This window comes from Homo sapiens, chromosome 18, assembly GCF_000001405.40.
Source record: "Homo sapiens chromosome 18, GRCh38.p14 Primary Assembly".
Lineage (NCBI taxonomy): Eukaryota > Metazoa > Chordata > Mammalia > Primates > Hominidae > Homo > Homo sapiens.
Window position 1 is genome coordinate 22,813,745 of NC_000018.10, and position 12,329 is coordinate 22,826,073.

Here is a 12,329-nt window from a genome sequence, read left to right on the forward strand (position 1 = left end):
ACTTCCCCAAAGGTCCAAAGAACTTTTTTGGATGTTTTGTACTGGAGTTGGTCTTGAGTTTCTGCACATGTGATACACTAGGTGGTGCTAATTGACTGAGCTGAGCAGGGACACTCTTTGCAGCGACGTTAAAGACTAAACCTCACTGAATAGATGTTTTTACAGACGTCAATCAAAGGAGGAAATCTCAATTATTAATAACTGCACTTCTTGAAGATATAAAGAGAAAATGCTATTAATAACGATCATGGTCTTTTCCTTCCCAAATTATTTATAATTACCTGCTTTGCCAAGGACAGAATTCAGCTCTAATTCTGCAGACATTGTCAGGTAATTGTTACGTTCAAGAAAAGCTCTAGCCTGAGTGAAATCTCCTAAACTAGAAAGTTGCCTTTCCTGGAGGAGCAACAATATGGAGAAATGCTTTGTAGAGCAAGGCAGAATTTTCTTTCCAGACCCAGGCAAGCTCAGGCAAGAACCTAAGACTACAGCCAGGTGTAGGGGAAAAAAATTCCTCAGCTGGTCTAGATCAACAAACCACTAAATCACTAAACTAAAGGGCTCCTTTACTAATTTGTCTTACATGGTCAGAAACATAATTTCAAGAAAAAGAAAGTCTTTATTTGAATTTATTGTTCAGACTAAAAGCGAATTAACCAGCAGGTAATCCAGGGCCAATATGAAACATAAAGGAAGATTTATATGAATCATACTTCCTCTGCATTGTATTACAGGAGAAATATAGTTCTAATTTGTAAACGTTCAAAGCATTTCTGACCCTTAAATAACTCCGATTTATAAAAGTAAACACACAAGCCAGCTTTTACTGTCTTTGTCTTTTATGAGTGCCGATGCATTAGGCAGCATTCTTGCAATGCCACACCAATGTGCCCCTACCAAGTAAGGTCAAAATAATAACTGTTCCAATTCTTTTTGTTGTTTTTTTTATAGAGATGGAGGTCTCACCATGTTGCCCAGGCTGGTCTCCAGCTCCTGGGCTCAAGTAATCCTCTCACCTCAGCCTCCCAAAGTGCTGGGATTATAGGCATGAGCCATCACACCCAGCAACTGTTCCGATTCTCAATGACACCTCTGTCTAGTGGAAATCCCACACCAGGTCTTTAGTTCTCCATTATATAAGTCATGAAACTGTCTTTATGAATGGCTGCACCTGGAAGTTTGATGCCTGAAGGTTTTTTTATGTAAACTGGATTATATTTAAGTAAAGATATCCACCCCATAGCTGCAAAGGACTGTCATCAGTGAAAGGAGAAGTTAAAAAAAAATAGAAAAAAATATATATATAGGTAGATATAAATTATTGGTAATATTTTAGTTCTCGAATGAGTAGCATCCATTATATTCTAAAAGCATAAATAAGCAAATAAAATAAGAAGGCCATTCATGAAACAATGACAATAATATTTTATGAAGCAAGGACTATAATTAATCCAATTCTATGTACTTAAATAAATAAACAGAATAAGTCAAAGGTAGCATAACATTCCACATCCATGTGACCCAATGCCTAAACATCTGCCTGTAACTACTCAACTCAGTCCTGGGAAATAACGTGGGCAAAAATAATTCAGAATCAGGATGTCTGGTTCTCCCACATTGGTGGGAACTTGAGTGAGGAACAGTCACGCTGATAATCTTTTTTTTTTTTTTTTTTTTTTGATACAGAGTCTCGCTCTGTTGCCAGGCTGGAGTGCAGTGGTGCAATCTCGGCTCACTGCAACCTCTGCTTCCCAGGTTCAAGTGATCTTCCTGCCTCAACCTCCTGAGTAGCTGGGACTACAGGCACGTGCCACCACGCCCATCTGTATTTTTAGTAGAGACGGGATTTCACCATGTTGGCCAGGATGGTCTCGATCTCTTGACCTCGTGATCTGCCCGCCTTGGCCTCCCAAAGTGCTAGGATTACAGGCATGAGCCACTGCGCCCGGCTGCATGCTGATAATCTTACAAGGCTTCAGGTCAGAGTAAGGGGACAGGTGCCTCCTTCCTGAGGAATGAAAATGTGCAAGGATCAGAAGAAACATCAGAAGTCATGTCCTGGTGTTATGGGATCTTTGGGGTGTCAATTTTCTGGCCAGAAACCTCTGTGGCCACAGCACCTTTGCCCAAGCTCTTGTCCTGAATCCAGGAAGAATGAAGTATGCAGACAAGTGAAGGGTGAACAAGACAAAAATGAGCTTTACTGAGTGTTACAACAGCTCAGAGGAGACCTGCAGTGGGTAGCTCCTCTCTGTAGGCAGGTCATCTATGGAGTTTTCAGTTCTCAGCAGAGAGGTGGCCCTGGAGAGGATAGCTCCTCTCTGCAACTGGTCATCCTGATGTCTGCAGCTCTGCAGCTCTCCCCCAGAGAGGAGGCCCTGGAGATGACGGCTCCTCTCTGCCAGCAAGTCGTCTCTGCAGCTCTCAGCAGAGAGGATAACTCCTCTCTGCAACTGGTCATCCCATCATCTGCAGCTATCAGCAGAGAGAATAGCTCCTCTCTACAGCTGGTCGTCCCATCCTCTCTTTCTCTCCCCTCTTTGTTCCTCTGGCCATCCTCTGCCCTGCTCTGGCTGAGCCCAGGGCTTTTATGGACCTCAGAGGGGAGGAAGTGTGTGCCTATTGGTCCATGGGCAGCCATGGGTGGTCCAGAAGAGGCACCACGAGTCCCCACTCCCATCCACAGGACTGGCAGCCCAGATCCAAGCCTTCAGGCCCTTCCCAGCCTGAAGGTGGGGCCTTAATGCGGGCTGCCCCCTTCCACCCAGGACTCTGCCTCTCGCTGCCATTCAAGGCCCAGGGCTCGGCCCCAACCCCACTCAGATATCCCAGCAGACACTGGGAAAGGAGAAGGGAGGGTTTTTCCTGGGGCCCCCAAGGTACAGGCTGCAGGGATGCCAGGGTCCTCCTGCGCCTAGGAGAGCGGGAGCTCCAGCCCCATCAACTCGGAAATGGGCTGGGCTCCTGCTTGTCCCGGCTCCTGCTCCATGAAACAGGAGGCCCAGGTCTGCAGCCTCGGGTCTGGCTGCTGCAGCTGCACCCAGGAGGGCAGATCCTGCCTGTTTCCGGCCCCCACCCAAGATCACTGGGAGGCTCCGATCCATAGCTGCAGTTTGGGTGGCTATAGCCCCACCCAGGAGGGCAGGTCTTCTGCCTGCTCCATAGAGCAGGAGGCCTGGGTCTGCAGCCACAATTCGGGCAGGGGCAGCGGCACCGAGGGAGCTCCCACCCCAACTCAGAAAGGGCGTGGCTCCCACCCGCTCCATGGAGTGTGCAGCCCCAGCTGCTCCTCCCTGCTGCAGCCGACGTGATGGCAGCAGCCACTGCCATCACTGGAAGAATGCCAAGTTCAAAGTCTGGAGCTTCTACAGCAGCACCTTAAGCAAGAGAGTTATACAAAGGTCAGTGATCCCAGTATGAGGTCAGGAGAGTAAAGAACAGATATAAGGCATCCTCCCTGCAAGAGACCCTCTACAGCCAGACCCTAGGAGTATAATGGCAAAAACTTGGGACTAAAGGTAAGCTATAGAGAGACATGGCTCAGAAGATGAGAAAAAGCATTCTCTAGCTTTGCTCAAGGTTCACAAGCAAACATTTTCTGTATCAATCCTTGATGTTAAAGGCCTTCTTAAAACAAAAGAGCATACTTTAGTTCTTTCAGTAAGTACAGTGTGATAATACAATCTAATACCTTTGATTCATTATTGGGAGCATTCATCTATTTATTCAGCCAACATTTACCTATTCTGTTCTTGGGACTGTGTTATGCATCAGTGTCAGTGTAAGGAAAATAGAATGGAGCCACAGAAGTTAAACAACATTGGACCTTATTTGTTGTTATCCTCCAAATGGGCTCTGAATGTGACTTTAATATCTCTGATAAGAGCCTTTCCTAGGGACATTTTCCTAGTAACAATTTTAAGTGTTTAAGATAATGTACATTAAAGTGTCTGGCCAGACATGTGGTAACATGTGGCTCTAGCTTGTGATCCCAGCACTTGGGGAGGCCAAGGCAGGAGGACTGCTTGAGACCAGGAGTTTGAGACCAGCCTGGACAACAAGTGAGATCCTGACTCTAACAACAAAAGCAACAACAACAAATGTCTACTGATTTGGCAGTCCTGGTTAATTTAGGATCTATTACATTTCCTGTACTGTACTTGTCCCAAATGTAAAAGCCTAAAAACTCCTACCTTCATTACACTGACTTCTTGCCAGCAGGGCACCCGACCCCCCTTCCCAAGACTCTAGAATGCTACAGATGCTAATAATAATGCCTTGAAGTCCAAAACAAACACATTAGCAAGGTCCTGGAAGTGTGCAATGAAAGCTACTAGGGACTTTCCATCCTGTCAAGCAAATTCATCATAGCCCAGTCAGTTATCAGGTTAAGCATAATTCTTTGATGAGCTTGTTAAAGGAAAATAAGTAAATTGGAGGCTATTCAAAGTCAGGGGCTGTGTTCTCAACTTCTTTGTAATTCCCCACAGTAAACTAGTATAATGCTTGGTTGACAGTTATTCCTCAATTAACAATTAGCTTTTGTTGATTTATCCCTTTTATTTTTCAAGCATAGAATAAGGGATAATGGGAGTTATATGAACAACAGGATATTCTTGACACACTTTCCTAGAACATCAAATTCACTCAAAGATTTGGAGACATAAGACATTTTTTTTTTAAAGTACAATGCAAGAATCTAAATGAATTTTTAAAATATGAAACAAAGACAATCCACACTTATGGCTGGGTATCTGAAGACATACCTTCAGGCCCCAGGTGATGATTGTCACTTTTTCTCTTTAGTGGAAAAATCTGCAGCAGACTGCTTGATGCCTGGTCACACACACACACACACACACACACACACAGAATTTGCCTCCCCCTCCACCCAAAAAGCATATATTTAAACCTACAAATTCTACTTTTAGGAACTTACCATAATAAATAAGAATGCAAACACAAACGATAGCAGCTGTTCACCTATAATTACTTTTATAGTAAAAAATGTTGAACATTGTAAATGTCGCTCATTTAGAGAATGGTAAAACAAATTATGGGAATGCCATCTAATGAAATTCTATTTAAAATAATGGTGCAGATCTACATTTATTAACATTAAAAGATGTCCACAATATGCTAAATGAGCAAATTTAAAAATAAATAAGATCTCAATTTGTTTTAAAATAATGTTTAAAAGATATGTGTATGTGTAACCATGTATACACATATTCAGAAAAAAGTCTGTAAGGCTATGTAACAAAACAATAACTCTTTCTGAGGGCTAGACCTACAGGTGATTTTTTCTTTTTTGTACTTTTCTATAAACATAATTTCTTACATGAACATAAGGTAATTTTAAAAATGAAGCTATTAAAGAAATTTATATAATACAAAAAGTATAAAGAAAGAAAAAAAATTATTCCCAAATCTTGCCTTCTAAAAATAATCATTTTTTAATAGCTAAAAATAACTGATTCATTTTATTTATTTATTTATTTTTTTAATGGTAACCACAAAATACACTTTTTTTTTCTGGTTTTAGTTCTTTTTTTTTTTCTTTTTTTTGTTTTCTTTTTTTTTATTATACTTTAAGTTTTAGGGTACATGTGCACATTGTGCAGGTTAGTTACATATGTATACATGTGCCATGCTGGTGCACTGCACCCACTAACTCGTCATCTAGCATTAGGTATATCTCCCAATGCTATCCCTCCCCCCTCCCCCCACCCCACAACAGTCCCCACAGTGTGATATTCCCCTTCCTGTGTCCATGTGATCTCATTGTTCAATTCCCACCTATGAGTGAGAATATGCGGTGTTTGGTTTTTTGTTCTTGTGATAGTTTACTGAGAATGATGATTTCCAATTTCATCCATGTCCCTACAAAGGACATGAACTCATCATTTTTTATGGCTGCATAGTATTCCATGGTGTATATGTGCCACATTTTCTTAATCCAGTCTATCATTGTTGGACATTTGGGTTGGTTCCAAGTCTTTGCTATTGTGAATAATGCCGCAATAAACATACGTGTGCATGTGTCTTTATAGCAGCATGATTTATAGTCCTTTGGGTATATACCCAGTAATGGGATGGCTGGGTCAAATGGTATTTCTAGTTCTAGATCCCTGAGGAATCGCCACACTGACTTCCACAATGGTTGAACTAGTTTACAGTCCCACCAACAGTGTAAAAGCGTTCCTATTTCTCCACATCCTCTCCAGCACCTGTTGTTTCCTGACTTTTTAATGATTGCCATTCTAACTGGTGTGAGATGGTATTTCGTTGTGGTTTTGATTTGCATTTCTCTGATGGCCAGTGATGATGAGCATTTTTTCATGTGTTTTTTGGCTGCATAAATGTCTTCTTTTGAGAAGTGTCTGTTCATGTCCTTCGCCCACTTTTTAATGGGGTTGTTTGTTTTTTTCTTGTAAATTTGTTTGAGTTCATTGTAGATTCTGGATATTAGCCCTTTGTCAGATGCGTAGGTTGCGAAAATTTTCTCCCATGTTGTAGGTTGCCTGTTCACTCTGATGGCAGTTTCTTTTGCTGTGCAGAAGCTCTTTAGTTTAATTAGATCCCATTTGTCAATTTTGTCTTTTGTTGCCATTGCTTTTGGTGTTTTGGACATGAAGTCCTTGCCCATGCCTATGTCCTGAATGGTAATGCCTAGGTTTTCTTCTAGGGTTTTTATGGTTTTAGGTCTAACGTTTAAGTCTTTAATCCATCTTGAATTGATTTTTGTATAAGGTGTAAGGAAGGGATCCAGTTTCAGCTTTCTACATATGGCTAGCCAGTTTTCCCAGCACCAAAAAATAATCATTTTTTTATTAGGTGAACATTATTCTGAAAAGATGGCAATCATCTCAAGTATCTCTATATACATAAATATACCTAGATATGTGAATTAGCTAGATAAATGATAGCTATATAGGCAAATAAATTAAAGTTTAATAAACTAGAATCACATGAATGCTACATTGTCATAAAAAGCACTAAATATAAGTATTATTGACTTTAAAAGAAAAAAAACTGAAATGCATTAAAATAATTGTTTGGGTTCAGCTAAACATTTTTATCACCATAGAATATTTTGTTTTCTAAAATATCTCTCTAAGATTCAGAAAAAATTATAGAACAAAAAGTTTCAATTATTAAATAATGATATGTTTAATATAGACATTATCAATTGACTCTTTCCTAAACAAGTTAAGAAAATTAGCAAGCTTTCACTTCTTCCCACATACTCATTTTGGTTAGTTTTTATTTTTATATTTCAGGCTTTATAACATTTACATTTGCTTCTATAGCCATAATTCCTACAACTGTTAAGTCTTAGATAATATCTAAATGAAGCCAATAATCTCCACCTATTCTTTTGTAATGTCTTTTCCATTCCATAGCTCTATATTTTTAATTTATTCTTTTTTTTTTTTTTTTTTTTTTTTTGAGACGGAGTCTCACTCTGTCACCCAGGCTGGAGTGCAATGGCGTGATCTCGGCTCACTGCAACCTCCGCCTCCTGGGTTCAAGTGATTCTCCCACTTTGGCCTCCCAAGTAGCTGGGATTACAGGCGCCCACCATCATGCCAGGCTAATTTTTGTATTTTTGTAGAGACGGGGTTTCACCATGTTGGCCAGGCTGGTCTTGAACTCCTGACCTCAGGTAACCCGCCTGCCTTGGCCTCCCAAAGTGCTGGGATTACAGGCATGAGCCACCATGCCCAGCCAATTTATTCTTTGGTTATCGGTATTTTATCAAATCGTCTTTTTTCTCCAATAAGCTTTCATATGTGCCATATTCACTGAGTTATTGAATGTTTAGGAATAACTTTCTGTTACCGTTATGTACGAATTACAATTTGGCTGGTTATTATACCGTTTGGTTATATTTTCTTCCCTTAATTGAATTTGGCTATACAGAATATATATAAGTAATATATATGCATATATATGCATGTAATACATTTCTATATCATGTGTTTTATTACATTTTCTGTGCTGTTTTCTACTTTAGTGATACCAAATATCTTTCTGACATACCAGCCTTTTCACTTCTATATTATCCCTTGTCTAATTATTTTAATGTATTTTTTGCACTGATTCTCTTAAGTCTTTCTTCCACATCAGTAATTCTGTTTTAAGCCGTGTCTAATCTGTTCATTACCATATAAATTAGTTCTATAATGGTGTTGGTCTTCTGTTTTTTTTTCAGCTCTGTGAATTCTCTTTCATTTCACTCTGCTATTTGAGAGCTTGTTATACCTGTCATGTTCTTACTAAATCCTTCTATATACAAAACACTCAAGAATGTTTTTTCATTTTGATTATATTTTTTTCTAGAGAAGTTTCTTTCTAGTCTTTCACTGTCATATTCCTTTTTCTCCTTCAAAGCCCGACTTCTTAAAGATCTCCACTTGCTCAATTCTGACTCACTCCTAAACCATTTCAATTTGTTTCTGACCCCCCTATTCCAGCAAAAACTGCTCTCAGCGGGTCACCAATGACTTCCTTATTGTTAAATACAATGAACTTCAGTCTCACTTGTACCCTTGGCAGCATTTGTTGTGGCTAATCACTCCTTCCGCTAAACACTCTTCCCTTGGCTTCCATTACAACACACCCTCTGGTTTTCCTTCTACCTCTCTAATTACTTCTCAGCATCTTTTGTGGAGTTTTCTTCCTCTGCTTTTCCCTTAAATTTTCTGTTCTATAAGGATTATGCTAGAATCTTGACTCATTCTATAAACTCTCAGTGTTTGAATCTATCTACTCTTCTGGCTTAAATTACATCTATACACAGCTTCTAATTTATAGCTCCATTACCTAGTGTCTCCCCAGTGTATCTATTTATTGGACACTTTGGTCAAGTCCTAAACTGAACTCATAATCTTCTATTCCCAACCTGCTCCTCCTCTTCAGTTTTCTGCTTCTCTAAAAAGAAACTACCCGGTTGTTCAAGTCAGATACTTGGGGGTTATCTTTAACTCCTTGTTTTTCTTCTCATAGTTAACCATCAGGCCTAATGATTTTAACTCCTAATAAAATTATCTTAGCTACTCTCTATCACCACTGCCATTGCCTATCTCAAGTAACTATCTTCTATTTCCAGTTTTACTGCAATAGTCTCAAACTAATTTTCTAAAGTGGTTCTACTGAAATTCAAATCTGATCATGCCATACCCAGTACCCCTTAAAATCTTTCAATAACTGGCCATTGCCTATGAGATAGCCTCCAAACACCTTAACCTGGCATAAATGACCCTTCTCGGTTACAGTCTCTTGATACTTCTCCAATTTCATTTTCTGTTTCACATATATGTTCCGGTCAAGATAAACTACTTACAGTTCACTAAAAATAATCAGGTTCTCTTTCAGCTTTGCATGTTATTCCATCTACTTTAATCACTCTCACTCCTCCCATTGGCCTGGCTAAGTCCTAACCATCTTTCCACTCTTAATTTAGAAGTTCCTTCTTCTAGGAAACTTTCTTGGATTCCCAGTTTCAAGTTAAGTATCCCCCTCCTAAGTACTCTCACAGGACCTTGAACTTCTTTAACACATTCTGCCATAACAAAGTTGCCTTTTTACTTCTCTAGAAACTAGACTGTAAGTATCAAGAGGTGGGTATGGTGTGTATCTTGTTCACGATTGCATCCCCAACCTCTAAAAAAGAATGATTTTTGAATGATTGAATCAATAGGAGAATGTAGCTTTACAGAGAAAGAGAAGCAAACTAACATATAAACTAAAAATGCCTCTTCCTTAGAGAATGAAGGAAAGGATGAAAGAGTATATGCCTTGCTTTTGTTAGTTCTTGACAGAAAATGTTAGGCTTAATCAAATGGCATAGCCTCAATACTTGGCCATTTTTTACCTACAAAAATGACAATTTAATACAGCTCAACTTAATACATTTTGATGGTTTGACCTACATTCACAAACTATCAAACCTGGAGAAACCCAGTATCCTGATACCAAAGATGAAAGGCTAGAGCCAGACCACTAATCTTTAACCCCATTCTCTTTTAATCAGCAAATTTTGAGAAATGAATGAAGTATAAATATTGATGCATAAGACAGGACTGAAACATTTGAAGTTGAACCACTTTTAGACAAGACATGCACTGAACTGGGTGGCCTAAATTCTGAGACAAATGTTTCTGATTTCCCTGGGCGTAGCCAGAGATTAAGCCGATATTTTTCTTTAAAAGACTATCATTCATCTTCGACTAGTTCATGGGAAAGGAAGCCTCTTTAGAAGAAGGTACAGCGACTGGTTAACATACAATGTATTCATTAAAACCTCATATGCCAACTGGTGCTTAATAACTACTTTAAAAAATATTCATGGTGACAGAAATGGAAAGATTTAGTGCCTTCATATGAATAAAAATGTTCAGATTCTTTATTAAAGTTTGCTTTAATAAAGTGGCTTCTTTTTTAGGATTGTTATTCCCCTACCATGTATACTAATACATTCAAGAAAGGTAGAGAGAACTTAAGGTATGTTCTATTTCATATTCACCTCCAATAAAACCACTAAATTGGATGAAAACTAGAATTGTCACTTATTCTCTAGCAACCAAATAAATTTTATAAAGCTAGACATTGGTCCTAAATTTTCTTTATATCATCTTTTATTGTTAACATGGTTAATCTCTTCTCAAATAGGGAGGCTATGTATATTACCAAAAAAAATTGGAGCAATGAAAAAAAACTAGTGAAATCAAGCAATAGCCAAACTGGATCATTTATGCTCCAAATGTTCTTTTCATCCGCCAGTGTTTTTTCTCCAGACATAATCTTCCACATAAGTACAGCCTTATGCTAAACTGACATAATTCCAATGTTACTAGTTGGTTTTGTCAATTTAGTAGAGTAAAATCCAGTAATTTGGGATTAATGAAACAACTAATTGAACTGTTACTTTTCACTGGCTGTGTTAATTCAATGTGATACAACACTGTCATATGATCAGGTCAAACCTAGAAAGAATTCATTTGCTCTAAAAAGTGGGCAATTCACCCATAAGCACAGAGTATTATTATAGAAACTTTTTCCCCTATGATCTAATACTAGACAATTTGAGCCACTGTGTTAAATTAACATCAAAATATACATTCAGACCAGAATGGTAGCTTACAAAGATGAACTCTTTTCTCTCTTGTTCACTTTTGTTTGCCTAGTGCCTACATTGTAAGCATTCAAATAATATTTGTTGAATGAGTTAATTAATGAAAATTATTATCATCAGTTGCCTATCCTATCCAGACAAAACATTTTGTCTATAGAAAATATGACCAATAAATAACATTCTATGTGTCAGGATCTCCCAACATAAAGACTTCTAGGTAATTACAAAACTGAAAAGCACTGTTAGCCCCAGTACTGATTTGGGTTCCAGTCAGTGGCTTCCAAACTTAGCATGCATCACGCTAGTTAAGAACTAGTTAAAATACAGATTGTTGAGCCCCAGGCCTAGAGTTTCTGTTCAACAGGGACCTGATAATCCTCATTTCTAACAAGTTCCTAAGTGAAGCTGATGCTTCTGGTCCAGAGACCACATTTTGAGAACCGTGAATTAAGAAAATCAGAGCACTTACTAAGAATAGTCTTTATTTTGCTGATGATATATTTTCCACAAAAATCATGTCTACAAGTAGTAGATTTCTTTTTTTTTTTTTTTTTTTTTTTTGAGACAGAGTTTTACTCTTGTTGCCCAAGCCAGAGTGCAATGGTGCCATCTTGGCTCACTGCAACCTCCACCTCCCGAGTTCAAGCAATTCTCCTGCCTCAGCCTCCTGAGTAGCTGGGATTACAGGCACGCGCCACCACGCCCGGCTAATTTTTTGTATTTTTAGTAGAAACGGGGTTTCACCATGTTAGCCAGGCTGGTCTCGAACTCCTGACCTCAGGTGATCTGCCCACCTTGGCCTCCCAAAGTACTGGGATTACAGGCATTCTTGTACAAGTAACACAACCTTATCAGTTCTCTGGAGTTTACTTTGTATTAACCTCAATGACATCCAACAGTATCTTATTAGTTCAAGTAGAACCTGTCAATTTGATGGAAAGAAGCAACTCTGCAAGCACATCATTCTTCTTGACACTACAATATTACCCAAAAATTCCTAGTTTAAATTTGCTTTAATAGGCATTATTTCTTATACTAAGTTTAGATGCCTTTCCTACTATAAGACTATCTAGATAACATTTGTTAGAGAAAGCATTAACAAACTTTGTTGCTCTTCATCAAACTGAGGTATGTATGCCAGGCCAGGCATATTAATAGTAAATACCTCCAAATGATAATAACAACCTAT

General features: G+C 38.8%; 2 long non-coding RNA genes across 2 annotated transcripts in view, besides 1 other annotated feature; one reads left to right on the top strand and one right to left on the bottom strand.

Moving 5' to 3' along the window:
* The window catches only part of RBBP8-AS1 (RBBP8 antisense RNA 1), a 210,274-nt gene that overhangs the window by 90,254 nt on the left and 107,691 nt on the right, over window positions 1–12,329 (bottom strand). The gene's annotated exons all lie outside the window — the stretch shown is intronic.
* The window catches only part of LOC124904263 (uncharacterized), a 37,941-nt gene that overhangs the window by 15,515 nt on the left and 10,097 nt on the right, over window positions 1–12,329 (top strand). The window lies entirely within an intron of this gene.
* Window positions 8,061–8,897: an enhancer, noted in NCBI's record as "OCT4-NANOG hESC enhancer chr18:20401768-20402604 (GRCh37/hg19 assembly coordinates)". NCBI's record gives its function as "activates a minimal SCP1, AML or CMV promoter by ChIP-STARR-seq in naive H9 embryonic stem cells {active_cell/tissue: H9 hESC(naive)}" and the evidence as "EXISTENCE:reporter gene assay evidence [ECO:0000049][PMID:30033119]".